General features: G+C 35.2%; 1 protein-coding gene across 4 annotated transcripts in view; it reads left to right on the forward strand.

Annotated features, from left to right (window-relative positions):
* CDK14 (cyclin dependent kinase 14) overlaps positions 1 to 18753 on the forward strand; it is a 614270-nt gene that overhangs the window by 302415 nt on the left and 293102 nt on the right. For all 4 annotated transcript variants that reach the window (NM_001287135.2, NM_012395.3, NM_001287136.1 and 1 more), the window contains one exon: positions 556 to 618. In NM_001287135.2, coding sequence (NP_001274064.1) covers positions 556 to 618 — 63 coding nt within the window. The remainder of the gene's footprint in view (positions 1 to 555; positions 619 to 18753) is intronic.

Consider the following 18753-nt stretch of genomic DNA (forward strand, 5'->3'; position numbering starts at 1 on the left):
TTAATTTTGAAGATGTTTCTGTTAATTTATGAAGCATATTTGCTCAAATATATTCAGGAGTTCTAGAAACCTGAAAATTATTTTTTCTGAATATGGACATAAAGATAAGTCCAGTGATTAATTTTACTAGTAGAATATATTTGTGGTATTTTTATCTCATATAAAATAAATATTTTTTATTTGCATTTGCACTTGGAAAATATGGGATAATTGACATTATAATTGCATTGGTTAAATATGTGTGGTTTTCTAAGTTAAAGTATAAGGATATATTCAATGGAAAGGAAATGAGACACTTAACAAATTATGGACATGTATTCTTTTTAATATATAGAAATATTTAACATAAAACAGAGCCGAGAGGGAAAAATAATGATTCAATTGTGTTTAAAATTAGGGGGTGGGGAGGCATGCCACTACATACACTGAAAAATCCACCCACTTGTCTTTTATTTGCTCTGTTCAGAAGGTAATGGTGAGTTTGAAGTAGGAAAATATTGATTTATTATGTTATAGCCAGAGGGTTATTAATACATTTTTCCTTTTCTTTTCTAGCACACTGATTTATGTCAGTACATGGACAAGCACCCTGGGGGGCTGCATCCAGATAATGTGAAGGTAGGAAAAGATCTTTTTAAGCCAAAGGTTAGCATTCTTGATGTGTATTTTTTGAACTGAAGTCTAGCATCTCTACCATAACATATTTAAATTTTTTAAATTTTTTGTGTAAAGAGAAGGGATATTGAGGTGAACCAGTCATTGCTTCAGTTGAGTTGTTGGAAACCATGTTTTAACATTAAATATTTTTACTGGGGTATTAATATTTAGATCTCATCTTATATTTTCTTGCTGGAGAAACATTTGCTAATAATGAGTGAAAACCACTGGAATCCTACTTTTTAACACTTCACAGTAGAGGGGAGTCTCAGTTCTAGCTTGGAACCCATACTGATGTACCAGTTGGTTTCAACATAAAGCATCATTATGATCCAAAACAATGTTATGGTGGGTTCACAGTGCATGTCTTTTTATTTCTATGTACAAGCATATTCTACTTTCTGCTACTCTTTTTCCTTTCTTTTAGTAGAAATATTACTACCGAGTATCAAAAGAACTATGATTTCCTAAAATTTGACCTCACAATCATCTTGGGAAATTATTCCAAAATTTCAAGCTTCTTGGTATATGCAATAGAATTAGAAGAGATCAAAGTTATATCTGATATGGCTTAATTATGTACTTACATTGTGTAACTCAAATGACTACATTTCATAATCCTGAGAACCAATTGAGTATTACAGATGTATTTGAAGTAAACTTATTCATCTCAATTTCTTCCCATTTGTTATAAGAAACCCTATTAGTGATAAACTAAGAGGTCTTCACTTTATACCATAGTCGAATCACCTGGGAAACTTTCTATGTATATGTGTAAATGTGACAAGTTAATAGAGGCTTTTGTAGTGGTCAGTTACACTGTATAATTTTAAAATGTAGGAACTTATAGGAAATCTGTCAAAACATTGTTAAATAAATAATGGAATCAATATAGAAATTATAGTCTGTTGATTTTTTCATATGTCTTCTTTTTGTGTTTTATTAGATTGCCTTTCCTTAAAGTTTTTTGACTGTTCATTTTTCTTAAAAATGTGTAACCATTAACATATAGTTTATTAGTAGTTAGATTAGGTTAGAAAATTTAATGGATGAAAATACGTGTTTTATTAATCTTGTCTATGTTCAATTCCAACTCTAAATATTAGTATTATAACATGAACATAATTTTTTTAACATTAAAATCTCAAATTCTCTCATTTATACATCCACATGTTCTCAGGGTTTATTGGCTTTGAAATCAATAGTACAATACATCTTCATTCTTGTTTCCCACTCTATCCCTGAGAATGTGTTGATCACCCAGCTAGTGAGACCACTGGCCCCGGGGAGCTCAGAAGTCTACCAGCCACAGTGGAAATGAGCAGATCCTCTGAGCTAACTTTGACTTCCTGACTTTCACATTCAGTGATACAATTGAGATTAAATAACTGATTGAATCTTTCCCACAGTCATGACATCACTGGGCTTTTATTATCCCTGTTTAGTTTCTCACCAATCATGTATGTGTCATTAGTTATCAGCAACTGTTGGTGGAAAATTTTGTTGATGAAAAAAAGAAAACCTCTTTCCACAAAGCATTGCTGTGTTCTCTGTCCTCAGGCCACTGACATTGATGAATTTTGTCCCATTTTTACTATACGTTCTGCTTCTTCCATTACATTTTATTTTCCCTTATCTCCTAATGGTCATGGAGAAATGGGTCTCAAGGTTACTGTTTCTCAGTAACTGGGCTGTACCTCTAGAAACTGTCTCACCAGCTCTTATTCAAGCTTTGTGTGCTTTTCTTTCATCACATGGTCATTCATCATACTTCAAATACTTACTGTTTGCTCCTCATTCCGAGTCCAGGTTGCACCATGGTGATAAACAAGGTTTAACACTGCAGGACTTGGTGCCTCCTAGGACGTGGTGAGAAACTTAATGATGAGTGAAATGTGTAGTCAGTGTAGAAATAATGTCACAGAAATTATATGTGACACTTACAGTGAGCCTGGGTATTTATATACAGCAGGAACTTTTCCTACTTGGAAGTTGTTTAACATGGTCACCGATAGATGACTTACTACATTTTTGTTTCTAAAAAAAATGTGATGTGATTTACCTCTTCTTATTTTTTAAAATACCTTAAAAGCAGCAAAATGTATTCATCTATGGGGATTCCTTTCCTCACAACTAGTGAAATCTTTGATTTGTTGAGGATCTTCTGAAATGTCCTGGACAGTCTCAGTGCTTGGCATATTTGTGGATACAAGAAACCTCAGTAATAAACTAAGAGGTCTTCACTTTATTCTGCAGTAGAGTCACCTGGCAAGCTTTATATGTATATATATATATATACACACACACACACATATATATTCTCCCCAGAATCAGGACATCTGCATAGTATAATACTGAGAATTTTAGCCAGAGTAATCAGCCAAGAGAAAAAAATGGAAAAAATCCAAATTGGAAAAGAAGTCCTCTGATCATCTCTCCTTGCAGACCAAGTAATCTTATGTATAGAAAAATCTAAAGACTCCACCAAAAAAAGTTACAGAGCTGATAAACTAATTCCGTAAAGTTGCAGGATACAAAATCAACATATAAAAATTTGTAGTATTTCTTCCCCAATAATGAGCTGGCTGAAAAAGAAATAAAACAATTTAATTTATAATAGTTACCAAAAATTATGTAGGAATCAGTTTAACCAAGGAAGATGAAAGATCTGTATAAGAAAACTGCAAAACAGTGATCAAAGAAATTGAAGAGATACAAATGGAAAAACATCCTATGATCATGGATTAGACAAATTAGTATTATTAAAATACCATTCTACCAAAAGCAATCTACAGATTCAATACAATTCCTCAAAATACCAATAACATTCTTCATGCAGTAGATAAACAATCCTAAAATTTATATGGAACCACAAAAGAACCCAAATAGCCAAAACAATACTGAGCAAAAAGAACAAAGCTGGATACTTCATACTACGTGACTTCAAAGTACACTACAAAGCTATAGTAACGAAAACAACATGTTATGGGTATTAAAAAGAGACACCTATGTGTCTGAACAGAAAAATGCTCAGAATAGAGAACCCCCAAATTAATCTGCATACCTATAGTCAACTGATATTTGACAGAGGTGTCAAGGACATACTTTGGGGAAATAACATTCTCTTCAATAACTGGTGCTGGAAAAACTGGAAATCCATGTGCAGAAGAATGAAACAAGACTTATTTTTCACCGTATATAAAAATCAACTTCAGATGGATTAAAAGCTTGAACATAAGGCCCAAAACTATTGAACTCATGCAAGAAAACATGGGAGAAACACTTCAGGGCTTCGGTCTAGGAAAAGATTCTATGACTAAAACAGGCAACAAAAATAAAAATAATAGATAAATGGGACTATATTAAACTAATAGGCTTCTGCAAAGCAAAGGAAACAGGAGCAAAGATACAAGCTGTTGAATGGAAGAAAATATTTGCAAACTCTTCATCTGACGAGGGACTAATATTTAGATTATAAAAGGAATTCAAACAACTTAACAGCAAAAGAAACAAACTCGTTAAAAAGTAGACAAAGGACCTGAAAAAACCTGTCTTGGAAGAAGACATACAAATGGTGCATAGGTAGTAAAACATGCTCAACATGACTAATTATCAGAGAAGTAAAAATCAAAACCACAGTGAAATTCCATCTTACCCCAGTTAGGATGGCTATGATCAAAAAGACAAAACATAACAAATGTTACTGAAGATGTGGAGAAAAGGGAAGTCATACACTGTGGGAATATAAATTAGTGCAGTTATTATGGAGAACCTATGGAGGTTTCTTAAAAAACTATAAATTGAACTATCATATGATCCAACAGTCCTACTAATGGGTGTTTATCCAAAAGAAAGGAAATTTCTGCACCACCATGTTCATTGAAGCACTATTCACAATAGCAAAGATATGGAATCAATCTAAGTGTCCATCAACAAATTGATAGATAAAGAAAATGCAGTACATACATACAATGGAAGATTATTCAGCCATAAAAATGAATGAAATCCTGTCATCTGCAGTAGTATGGATGGAACTGAAGGTTATTATGTTAAGTGAAATAAGCCCCTCACAGAAAGACAAATAGGGTGTATTTATATTCATATATGGGAGCTAAAAAAGTTGATCTCATGAAGGTAGAAAGTAGAATGATAGTTACCAGAGGCTGGGAAGGATTTTGGAGTGGGGGATGAAGAGAGGTTGATTAACGAGTACAGACATACTGTTTGATAGAAGGAATATGTTCTAGTGTTGACAGCACAGTAGTCTAACAATAGTTAACAACAATACATTGCATATTTCAAAATAACTAAAAGAAAAGATTTGGAATGTTCCCAAGACAAAGAAATTATAAATATTTGAGGTCAGGGATATCCTAAATACCCATCATTATACATTGTATGATTGTATAAAAATACGCTGGGCTCCCCAAAATATGTACAAATAGTATGTATTAATAAAAATATACTTTAAAAAGTATCTTTACGCAGGAAATGTGGGCATTTGCTCAGACGCAAGGAGGAGAGGCCAAGATTTCTCCCATGATCTACAGCATTTCCTGACTCTCCCTATGTCCCTGCATTGCTTTACTCCCCAGCCCTGGGGACATGTGTACTTGCCAGCAATCCTAGCCTCTTGTTTTTCCACAGCCCTGCAGCCTGCTGGCTTCCATTGCTCCTCAGTCTGCCAGCAGGGGAGTGGGTGGTGACCCAGAATAAGGTGGGGGTTGTGTAGGTCAGGGAGAGGCAGGGGAGAGCTTGAGAGACAGGACTTGGCATGGAGAGCTTTAGACAGCAAAAGTCGTGCCTCAAGGAAAAGATTTTAAGAGTATTCTGTGAAGGATCTGATCATTCCAAGACGACAGACCTGAAGAATCCAAGAAACTCTCCAGTGAAGACCCCAGTTAACAAATGAGTAACTTGGAGGAAGCCAAGTTGCTTGCACTGATTGGATAGGGAAAGGTAGAGAAGGAAACTTTAAAAAATTATCATTAATAGTCTCAGAGAGAGAAAAGAAGATAATTCATCCATAAAACAAAAATGTGGTATTATTTTTGAGAAGCAGAATTTAGACAACACAAAGGAGCTCTTGGAAATTAAAAATATAACAAATTAAAAACAACAATAAAATCATGGGAGACAAAATTGAAGAAATTTGCCAGAAAATAAACCAAAAAATACAAAGATGAAAAATGGGAAAGAAAGTATCAAAAAATCAGAGGTCTAATCTAGGGGATCCCACATCTGAATAACTGAGGAAAAAAGGAGGGAATCATTAAAGTAATAACTATGAAACCATAATTCTTTCAAATGTATAGGATTGAGTTTTTAGATTAATGCCTAGATCATTTAAAAAATAAACTGAAAATAATGTTCATTATTGCAAAATTTCAGAACACTGGGTTCAAAGAAAAATCGATAAAAAAGGAAACAGGTTTACTCCACGGGATCAAGAATTACAATGGCGTCAGATTTTCAACAGTAACACTGAAAGGGGAATGGCAGTGAGACAATAGCTTGAAAATTTGGACACAGAAGTATTTTCAGCCTAGAATTCTGTGCAAACTGTCAGTGAAGTATGAAGGTAAAATTACCATTTTCAGATGCACAAGGAGTTGAAAATTTTGCCTGTGTTACATTCTTTCTCAGGAAGATACTTGAGGATATACTCCACTAATACTCAAGGAATATACCAAGGAAGAGAAGACAAAGAAACCAGGTAACAAAATCCACTACTGGAGAGAGGTGAAGGAAATTCCCAGGATAAAGAAGAGAATCCAGGGATGACAATTGTGCATCAGGCTGGGAAAGTAACTTGCTAAGCCAGCAGGCTAGAAGTCTCCAGGAGAGATTTAGTAAAGGAGATAAAATTGTTAGTTAGAATACCAAATGTGTTTAAGTGGACTTAAAAGATGGGAAAAGAATTTGGTGTTGAATTAGTAGTGGCCACAAAGAAAACCAAACAAAGGAAAACAAACTGACAAACAAAAGAACTAGATTATTACTAACACCAGGAAAAACAAATTTTTGTGCAGGGGAAAGAAAGGTATTCATAGTAAACTTTATAGCTCAGCTGTAAATAATATTTACATGGTCATAATAATTTAAACATTGAATGTTGATGTAATTTAAAACAAAACAAAACAAAAAATACCTCTTTATGTGATAATGCTGTAGCCAAGCTCATTCCAGGACCAGCGTCCTGGATCAATGGTTCATTCCAGCCCCCAACATTTCATAGAAAGTAAGCATCAGGTTCACTGAGATGATGGAGTGTGTTAAAGGGCTTTTTGACTCTTTGTGCAATGTTCTTTTCCCTGAGCTACATGATTAATACATTAAATTACTGTAATTAGCTTGATTATTTGTGACTTTCGAAACACTAAGTCACATAGGTTCATCATCATTTTCATATTGAAGATAATAGTGGTACTTCCTCCAAGGGTATGGAAAGTTAAAAAATAGATGTAGCTTGGTAAAGCCTTGTGTTTTGGCATCTGAATTGCAGTGCATGGAAGCAGACAACCCTTATTACTATGTTGGTTTCTATGGGAGGCCACTCATCTAATTATGCATTGGGTTTTCCTCACTGTTTGCTGAGAGACAAGGGTCTCCTCCAGAGTTGCTTTAGGATATGAACTGCAGGTGAAATTATTCTCAAAAAATTCGGACTATGACATAGTGACAGATATGTCATGGGTATTTCTGTTTGATATATAAACATTTTTTCATGTGGTGATGTTTATTGTCACTTAAATCTATGAATATAAAAATGAAGAACATAAAAATAATATTTACTAAGTTAACAGCTGTTCATAATGCTGTGCTAGATATTAATTGTTTTTAAAGTTGATCTTCACATCATCTTAGATTGTTGGGAAAATATAGACAAAAAACCTCAACTGAGCTAAAATAAGACATTGTAATAGTTCTTTATAAATTTATGGAGATAGGAAAACCAGGTGAGATAAGCTATTGTCTTTAAAAAGAGCATGTCCTTTTAGTAACACAGAAGCTCTATGTTTGCTAAACACTTCACAGATTATTAAATGTTCAGAATGTGATGAATACTTAATTTTTATTATGGTGAACAATAGGAAAAAGCAGTGATCAAATCATTTTGCTTCTAAATTTAGCAATTTTGACTTTTAGTTTCATCATTCTGCAGCATGACAGTATATATAAACATTTTAAACATTTATCTAGGATTCTAAAACTGTACATATTTTTCTTTGTTGATATTTTGTATATAATTGTGTATTGTAAAAATGTGGATATCCTGCACTTAAGAATTGTGGAGATTGTTCCTTAGTGAGACTTGGGTAGAATTTCAGGCATTACAATGGTAATGTATCCTGGAAGAATGAAGGGGAGAAAAAAAGAACAAATGGAACTACACATAGCTCCTGATTTCATAGTAAAACAATATAATTTTGTACTAATTCTCAGCAAAACATCTATGAAAGTTGTATTTTTCTTGATGCGTATTTCTTGTAAGCCCTGGAATAGACTCATTTTAAAAAGCCAGTGTTAACTAAATTTCTACTCACTTTGCTACTTTAATTGCTTACAAAATGTGTCTATTATCAGTATGGCATTCTGAAATAAATATTCACTAATAACAAATGGTTTATTTCTAGCATAATATCAATTTTTGACAAAGTAATTTTAGCAATTAATTAGAGGATGATTTAAAACCTGAATCAAAAGCCTGAGGACATTGGCCCTGTTATAAATATTTATGATGATTAAAGGCATTGCAACCAGTTTGTAGATGGTGATAATAGGTATGTGGGAAACTGGTTAGAATATTTTTGGAAAGGTAGTTGAATTCCCCACTCCCTTTAAAGACCATTCACTGTGAATTATATTGGGTTTGAGCTATCATAGTTGAATATAGAACTTGTATTAATTCTTGATTTTATAATTCTCAGTGGTCTACAGATTGACCATTGCACTTTCACAAATGACTATAATGGTCTAAATTTCATCCTTTATTCAGTTTTTCATGTGTTCTTTAAAAATTGATAAGCATGAGAGACTGAAAATTAAGATTCATGAAAAAAAGATTAATTGATGCTGTCTCCAGCTGATGTCCAGAAATGTAGATGTTTGAATCTTATTACCATGATGAGATTGAATCTTCCTGTGTTTTTATGTAATGTACTTCCATTTCTGTTATCATAATGACTTTTCTAGAAGGTTCCCTGCAAAAACACATTTGCCCTTTTTTTGTGAACAATTGAAAATGACCAAAGTAATTTTGAACTTCCTGCCTTATTCTCTGAAGTATCCGCAATCCTATTGGCATAAAGCTGATTCTTATTTTTCATTTCAATAGATATATTAATTAAAAGGATAGGAGGTTTATTATGGCTGAAAACTTGCTATTTTTCTTTAATAGACCAGAGAACAAGCAGGTGTATAACAGACAGAATTATGCTATGCCAAATTAAGATTGTATTATACAGATGGCACTGAGAATTGATTTCTAAATGAGACTTTCTAATGTTCAGATAGAAAACCAAGTGACACCTGACTTTCTCCATATTCTTCATTAGAGCTTCTCATTTAGCTCCTAATAATTTCCTACTACACATGACTGTGAATATTATAGAGCCTTTCCTCATTCTGTATTTTAATTAAGAAATATGATTATTTCATGAGGCCATTAAAGAATATTTTAAAAATTTGACACCAAGTCTCAGTGTCTGTCCAGGCTTTTTTTGAATGTTTTCATCCTATTTTTATTATAATAAAATAATCTTCCACATCTAGAAAGTGGAAGACTAATGATAAAAGAAAATGAAGTTCCACGTGTCAGCTCTTATTGTGTTAGACATTCAGAGGGGATCTGAGTAGTGAATTTTCTGGTTAAGATATGGGGTCTGCATTTAGTTGTTTAGAACATGTCTTTTGCATCCTCAGGATCATCCGCTGATTTGTTCGTAACAATTTGGATCCAGCAAAAGAATTAAGGCCAGCTAATTAAACAGTACACTCTTTCCTAGAGATCCGTTAAAACCCAGATTGAAAAGGAATCACCCCAAAGAATGATGAAATGCAGACAATGATTGGAAGTGTTACATGATGCTTTAATTGTAAGTTACCCAACTTGGGAGTTCCCATTAAGAATAGGGGAAACACCCTCCTGGGCTTTACACTCGTCACCTTGCCTCTCTCCAGTTTAAGATGGATCTGCACACGACCCCTTTGTTTCCATGTTTTCCAAGACAGACATGAGACCCCAGAGGGAAATAAGTTCAAGTAGTAGAGTATACACATATTGTCTTGGATAGGCACAGCATTCCTGTGTCCAGCCAGTACAGCTCTAGGTATTTTCTCGTTCCTGTATAAATTTCTGTTACTTCAGACCCCTCTGAGAGGATGGAGAAAGAGGTTTGTTGATCATACGTATCTAAATTCACAAGTTGTTAAATGTTACATCCTATTTGAAATTAGTTTTTCTTTGGTATAACTTGTTTTTGTGATTTACTCCAAGGCTTTTAAACTCAAGATCTATCACCTTTGTCAATTTTTCTATCCACATCTCTCTCTTTTTAGTTATACTAGCCTTCTCAGTTGATATTAAGATAATTCATTTTGATTGAGTATCTAAAATGTTACTTTAGTCAGAAAAACCATTTAAACTCTGAATATTGATTCGTTTTCATTTTGTATAAAAAAGAATGGCCCTGTAGTTGGGAGAGAGTAGCATAAGTTCCCAAATGAAATTGAGTAGGAAGACCTACTGACTCTCCATTTCCCAATTTGGATTTTGTGCTATTTCTGTATAGTTCAGAAAAGCACTTATCAGTCAGGTCAGCCCTATAATTCTGGCAGACAGAAACTTGACAATGACAGAGTAAGATTATGTTATTTGAATTTCTTAGAACAGTTCTTTCAGTTTTTCTCTTGGAAAATTATGTTAGATAGCTATTAAATCCAACAGCTTGTCTTTAACAGTTTCTGCTCACCTAGGGAATATTTCTAATACTAATTTTAGGCAGATGCCCACCTTTATTAGGAAGACCCAGCCCCACCCCCCACCCCCGCAACATGCTTCACGGTATATACAAAGCCCAATAACTTGGAAACCTACTTACTGTACTAGATCTTCTTTTACAGAACTTGACAAAACAAAGATCAGTCACACTAGCCTCACTTGACTTATTATAAGTCTCCTAGCTCTAGATCCCATGGCTTTAAACTGCCTGCTCATTGTGGGCACCTCCATACCGGAAACACCACCTTGCTTGGTATCCACCATTGCCTTGAAGTAGAAAGAGAGTGTGGAATGGAAGGCCAACTTACTTGGTAAGCTAAGCAGTTATTTCCCCAGCAGCTTGCCCATGAACCTGAAATTCTCATTTTTTGAGTTATTTCTCTCCAGAAAGTTCTCATCTTTAGGAAAAGCATATTAATGTTCAAAGATCTTAAAGAATGTAAATTAAATTGTTACATTATCTAGAAATGACAAAGCATGTTACTTATGTCAGAGTCTTAGGGATTGTAACTAAAAAAGCAGAAAGAAGAATGGAAGAACTCAAACAGGGCAAAACAGTGGCAAGACAAACTCCTCCAGCTACTCAAATTTTCCAAGAACTGGATCTTTAAAATATATATTGCAAAAAAATACACGTGGAAGGACTGATGCCTTAGCATGAATGCTTGTGTCTTATACCATCCCAGTAGCACACTTAACACTGTCAAGTATGTCCAAAGTGACACATAAATTATACTGTAATGTTGAATAGCTAGGGTTTTATTTCTCTTTTTTTATATCTCTGTATAACCGTCTAAGTATTCTTTAAAAATTCAGTACTTTGAATTGCAATGATGCTTTGTAAAATAAAACGATTTGGGTGTACATTGCATTAAAAATTAAGATTTAATATTTGCATTAGCTGTTTTGAAACTCAACTAAATGGAATGAATCATGATGAATCATTTTGTGGCTTTTAAAAATTGAAGACCTAGTATTGCAGTTAAACCATTATCTGATGCATATTACAAAATATTTTGACATTGACTGCATATAATTGGGATTTTAACTAATTATTTTTAACTTCTAGGAAGTTGGATATGTGGGTAGTTTAAGGTTGTGCAGTCTATGGGTTTTTAAATGATACGGCGTTAAATATGGAACATACTATTTGAAGTATTTATTATTCATGTATAACTTTCATTTATCTACCAGTGTCATATTTTGTAGCTTTAGGTTCACATAGTATATAGCTATTTTAATTAAATAGTATGCTTGCCTTTTTGGATAGCAGCCCTCTTAATTGTAGTGTCAGAGTAAGACAAAAAATGGGTTCAAATATCAGCACTCTCTCTTACTTACTATGTGTTCCTTTGGCCAATTCACTTAATTCCTCTTTTTTTAAAAAACTTTTAAGTTCAGGGGTACATGTGCAGGATGTGCAGGTTTGTTGCATAGGTAAAGGCATGTCATGGGGGTTGGTTGTACCGATTATTTCATCACTCAGGTATTAAGCCTTGTATCCATTGGTTATTTTTCCTGATCCTCTCCCTTCCCCCACCCTCCACCCTCTGGTAGGCCACAGTGTGTGTTTTTCCCCTCTCTGTGCCCATGTGTTCTCATCATTTATCTCCCAAGTATAAGTGAGAAGATGTGGTATTTGTTTTTTTCTTGCTATGATACTTTGCTGAGAAAATTCACTTGTCTGAGGCTTTCTTTCTTTTTCTGTGAAATAGGGATAGTAACATCTACCTGGCAGAGGTGTTGTGAGGGTTAAATTATTGAATGTGTATAATACACTTAGCAAAATGTCTATCGTAGTAAGCACTCAATAAATGGTAGTGATTCAACTCCAGTTGTTTAATTTATAAAATCTCTTCCATTTCTGTTATTCATAAAATAATGGAATGATGTAATTTAACAATGTGAAATGGTTAACAAAGATATCTAAGACTTAACCAACCACTCAACCAACCATGTTTAAGATGAGAAACCTGAGTTATAGAGTATCAACCATGACAAAAGAGTAGCATAATTATCTTTCTAAGACATTACTGCTGTGTTCTAAATGGTAGGACCCATTGCTAATGACTCCTATTAGTAGATTTCTTAATCTTCTGAAAGCCCTGAGAGACCCCGCACATTCCTTAAAAGAAGTTGACACACGCCCTGAAAAATCTACAAGATATTCACCACGCTTCATCTCAGATTAAATTGAACCGCATATATTAAATAATCTGTGTATTTCTGACCATTCATGGAGCAGGACACCTCTAGACACTGAGAAAAAGAGCATCTGACCTCACCTATTTAGACTTCGGTGAGAGGGACTGGTTATAATGCTTCTTTCTTACTGCAAGTGTCAGTAGTTCTGAGCAATAAACATAACATTGAATCCAATAGTGTGTGCTTTATATCAACTTACTTTAAAAGTTGTGATAAAATACCATTAATTAATTAATTAATTAATTTTACCCACTTAAATTGTGAAGAGTTTCAGAAGGGAATAGAGGAAGTGTTAAGGGATACTCCCAAGAAGTATATGCCATGGCACTGAGAATATGCTGCTTCCTGCTGGGGATGCCAAGACAACTGGCTAAAGATAGCTCTGCTGCTGGCAAAAATGTCCCTGTTCATCGTTTCATTACTATTTAAGACAATTTCTCATTGGATTTTTATTACAGAAAATGAACATATTCAAACTGGAATATAAATCTTCAGTGATCCGACTGATGGATTTGGGATGAATCTCCTTTTATAAAGATGGAATAGAATATCCTGAGATGGCAAAATATTCTTAGGAAGATCTTATGGCTACTATAGTAGAAAGATAAAGAGTTTCAAATATATTAATTTATCTAGTTCAGCACGTGAATTTGTCTTCTCTCATGTTATCTATTTCTAAGATTTTGAATGGCAAAGACAGAAATTCAAGAATCATGTGCTTATTATACTATATGCTAATTGAGGCTTTTACAAACTTTGATTCACTTAATAAAAGCACTTTGATTGTATTGGGTGTATAACTACTCATCCATGCATTTATTCAGCATCAACCTCATTTAAGATAATGAGGTGTGGTGGAAAATTCACAAGAGCTGTGTGATGGTTGGATGACTATGTTTCTTACATCTTTAGAGCTTTAGTTTTCTCATTTGTTTAAACAAAAGGAAAAATACAGGATGGTAGCTGGAAAGGATTAAGTAATTTGTTGGGGGTTTTTTGTTTTGTTTATTCATTTGTTTGTTTTTGAGGCAGAGTCTCACTTGGTCGCTCAGGCTGGAATGCAGTGGTGTGATCTCAGTTCACTGCAATCTCCACCTCTCGGGCTCAAGCGATCTTCCCACCTCAGCCTCCCAAGTAGCTAGGACTGCAGGCACATGCCACCATGCCTGGCTAAGTTTTTCTATTTTTTTTGGTAGAGACATAGTTTTGCCATGTTGTCTAGGCTGGTCTTGAACTCTTGAAGTCAAGTGATCCATCTACCTCTGCCTCCCAAAGTGTTGGGATTACAGTTGTGAGCCACTGCCCCGGGCCTGATTAAGCTATTTATATAAAATTATTCTTTAAATTAGAATAAACTTTCAGTAAGTATTAGTCTCCCTTCTTTTCTTTTTAGTGCCTGAGATTCCAATGGTGTTTACCAGGTTTTATTAGCAAAGCTGATTCTTATGCTTTAGAAAAAGAATGTGTGTGGACCCCTCCCTGGTGGCCCTTCTTGTTCTCACAGGGTCTTCTGGTTTTTCATAGAAGATCAAGTATAGCTTGCTGTGTGTTTTATACAACAACCAAGAGAAGTGATTTTCTAAAAAATTTAAATTAGAAAGTTAGGGACTTGCCTATTTGTCTAGAAGAACTCGCTAAAGCTTGAGTTTTAAAGACATTCCAAGGGTAGTCCATGGGGCATTCCATTGAATTCAGTAGGGTGGCTGCTTCCTTAGAGCCTTCCCACCCCTATCTGCCAGTGTATATTTTGTTAAGGATGTTAAAATGTTTTTTGTAAATGTAGGGATCAAGGGAAAACTACCCCTTCACCCTCTAAAAGTTCATAGAAAAATTAACTCACAAAATGCACATTGATTTGAGAAAAGGCACAAACTTATTTTAATGTGCATAGCACAAGGTCATCATAGAAGAATAGTTACCCAGTAACCCAATGTGAATAGATGTTTATATATTCTTATTAGGAGAAAGGGAAATGGGGATGTATGAATGCTTTTAGGGGTGTGGTAAATGATTTTTAAGGAAATTCAGTGGGATTGAAGAATATACGAGAATATACGTCTGTTGGGCCTGCAGAGCAGAGAGTGGTTTGTGACAAAAGTCTGTCCAGGTGTGTTGACAGACTTCAGTCTTTCTTCCTAGGATAAGAGTTCAGTTAATGGAAACTCAGGAAAGGGGCCAGAGGTAATTGTTTTCTTCTTTGGCAGGTCCAGATTTTAGGCAGATAAGGGGACTTCAGAGAACAACTTCATCCTGTGCTTTGGGAGAGACAGAGGGTTGAGAGACGGGGCAGAGACGGGGAGTGGGGCAGAAGGTCAAAGAGACCTTCAAGCTTCTTCAGTTCAGCATGTCAAAGTGCCATTTTGAGGGTATCAGTTTCTTTGAGCTCCAGCATAAAAGTTTTCTAATGGTTTTCAGAAGGTTGATCGTCCCCTTGCCACAGTTAATTTAATGAGGCTGAGTTGGTAGGTTTACAGCTTCATATATTGTCTTTCTCGGAATTTATGTTATACCTGCTTGCTTGGTCTTCTTAGTGTTTTCCTTCAGGATGTTAAGGGGTTTGTCATAACATTTTAACTTCTGTGTCTACTGAATGCTCAACTCGTTCCTTTTGAAATTTTACAAGTAATGAATTCTGTTTTCAGAGTGACAAGTTTCTTGTGATTCGTTCCCTTCTCTTCTTGTAACAGCCAAATCAATTCTTCTACTTTTTAAAATTGTTGTTAGATCCACCCTTTTCTGTGCTTTCAGTATGCTCAGTTTGCGTTGCTGTTAAAATACAGACCTCTAAGTCACAATGATTTGTTTGTGTGTCTGTCACACTGAGTTAGCTGTGAGTTCCTCAAGTCTAGGGACCACATCTTATATCTTATTCCTCTTGGCATCCCTCTTGCATAACAGCACCTAGCACATATGGTTGGCACTTAATAAACCCTAAGTGAATTTATGCTGTGGAGATTTGTTCTTACATTTGTTTGGGGCTGTATTTGTCATGTTTGGGGCTTAATTTGTCATGTATACACTTAGAATTTTAGTGTATAGTGGCATTTTTTTCTCTAGTACTGCTTTTTAAATCTCCTTTAATATGGCATCCTATTTGAATAGCTTCTACGTTAGCGTGAGGATTATATATTTTCACTAATTAGTAAAGGTATTAAGTAATAGTTCTTTGGAACTACTTGATTTACCTATGTCTGCCCTTAGCTTCTCGAGAATTCCATTCCAAGGCGCCTGTTATTTGCTTTTATCTGCTGCCATCCAGATGTCTCTAAATTCAGGTCAGTACTCACATTACTGGTGTAGGAGTACCACCTATTACCCGAGTATATAAAGATAGTTAAAGCAGACAGCTTAGATAAGTATCATACTGTGATAGACATATGCAGAGGCTGCCCTGGGAGCATGGAGAAGGAGCACCTTACACAGACCTGAAGGGGTACAAGGGCTTGCAGGGGTGGTCAGGGAAGGCTCTAGGGAGGAGCAGTTCCTGAGGAGAGACCTAGGAATGCATGGAAAATAGTAGGCAAAGGGAAGAGAGGGCTTTTCTGGCCGAGTAGAGGCAAGGATAATAGCTCACGCCTGTAATCCCAGCACTTTGGGAGGCTGAGGCGGGCAGATCATGAGGTCAGGAGATCAAGACCATCCTGGCTAACATGGTGAAACCCCGTCTCTACTAAAAATAATACAAAAAATTAGCTGGGCGTGGTGGTGGGTGCCTGTAGTCCCTGCTACTTGGGAAGCTGAGCCAGGAGAATGGCATGAACCCGGGAGGCAGAGGTTGCAGTGAGCTGAGATTGTGCCACTGTGCTCCAAAAAGTACAGGGTTGGAGAACAGCATGCTGAGTGTTGAGGTAGGCAAGGTTTCTTGGAGCCGGGGAATATAGAGTAACAATGCCTGAGCCTGCACCCCCCAAAAAATAATGCCTGAGCCCCTCAGTTGGAATCAGTTCTCAGTTCAGTGGCCTTGGAGGCCATGTTATTAGATGCCCAGATATTTATTCTGTTCATTGGAGGAAGCAGTTCTCTAGAAATACTTTGCCTACTGATGTTGATTTCTGGCCAAGATGATGAGTGAGATGGTGAGATGGTTAAGAGCATAGAATTTGGAATCAGACTCTCTGGGTTTGAGGCCTGGCTCTGCCACTTAATTGCTGTGTGATCTTGAGAAACCGCACTCAGTTTCCTCATTACTAATATGGAGGTTAATAGTAGTACCTACTTCATTAAAATTGTTTGAACGTCAAATGAAGTAATATTCTATAAACTACATGGAATAGCAGTTGGCACATAGTGTTATGTATTCATTAAATTAAAATGCATTGCCATGGTTAAACACTTACATTCTGATAAGACTCTGCTAGATCCCAAAGATCAGGTAGCATTTTGCAGAATGGCAAACTGTTTCCTTTCAAAATCAACTTATTTTTAAAATTAAGTTTGTTATGTGGTTTGCCTTCGTGTTTTTATTTCGTTTTTTTAAAAGGCTTTGATAACACAAAGTGGCTTTATTTTTCCCTCTTTCCTTCTAAACTAAAGGAGTATGAATTTTCTTAGAAGTTGTAAGCTTTAGGCTTCAGGATGCAGGGAGTATTGGAAGTGAAGAATGAGGCTGGCAGCTGCTAGTGATGGTGTGAACTCAAGTCTTTCTGTTTGTTGTATAAGAAGCGTTGAGAGGACAAATCCAGAGAGATGTTTGCATCCCGAGATTCTTGAGTTAGTCTTTTAATCTTGACCAACACAGATCAGACTTCTACTTTCTGCTGCCTAGACTCTCGAAATAATCATCTCAAGCCTTTACTGCCCCATACATATTCTCGCATACAAAGATTTTGAGATTAATTAACTTTACTGTTATTTCAAGGTATCCCCTGTAATGAAATTCACTTGGCTTTCAAAGCCCCTGCTTAGTCAGAACATTCCAGAGATGCCACTGTCCAGGGCCCTCAGGAAGTTGCCAATCTTTTCGATTCAAGTTTCAGAATCTTTCTATCATTCGTCTTTTACAACTCATTTAAAATTGCCCTGAAACTGCCTTTGGTTACTAACTGGTTATATAGACTAGAATATTGGTGGCACTTAAAAGTAAGAACATTTGTTTTTGTTTTAGGAGATTGATTTTAAAAAATATCAATTAGGATTATTTTGGCAAGTAAATTGTTTAAAAATATTCTCTTTTTCATAAGAAGAATATTGGGAAGCCTAGTGAATCACACTTTTTTGTTATCAAAATAGAAACATTTGGTATGATCCAATATTAAACTTCACAGAAAAGGCTATTAATCACTTCTGAAATTATTTCTTCCAAAAGTATTACTCTCGAGTTCTTGACTTTCCTGTTGTGTTTCCTTTCCCTTTAGGATGGGTTTGCTCTGAAATTAGTGAAGGTGGTACATGTCTGTCTTTAAGCAGCAGCCTAATCTATATGACCATATGTGCAAAAGCAGTATAATTATAATGTAGTATTAATTAGACAATATGACTGTTTTTGTTTTAATTATTTCAGATCATCTTATCTTTCCATTCCTTAAAGCATGTTAATGGATGAATTTATGGGTACCATGTTCATGTTGTTTCTATGGAATTAAATATGTGCATATTGATATAAACCCTTGGTAAACAGTTCTTTTTTTAATCTCTATAATATTATGAATAGATTTCCTCTCCTTTCAAACATCATTTTAGTCCTGAAGACTAAATCAATTATAAAAAAATTGATTATTTACATTTTGCTTAAAGAACGCTAATTGGAGTACAGATCTCTCTGGCTGAGGGAGAATCACTCTCGGGTTGATATAATAGGTTGTTAGAAATTCCTAGATTTACTTCTAAATGAATTAGGAATTTACATACTAAAATCTCACATTCTGTTGAAATAATTTGGTAGAAAATTT

The sequence above is a fragment of the Homo sapiens genome, chromosome 7, assembly GCF_000001405.40.
Source record: "Homo sapiens chromosome 7, GRCh38.p14 Primary Assembly".
Taxonomy (NCBI): Eukaryota; Metazoa; Chordata; class Mammalia; order Primates; family Hominidae; genus Homo; species Homo sapiens.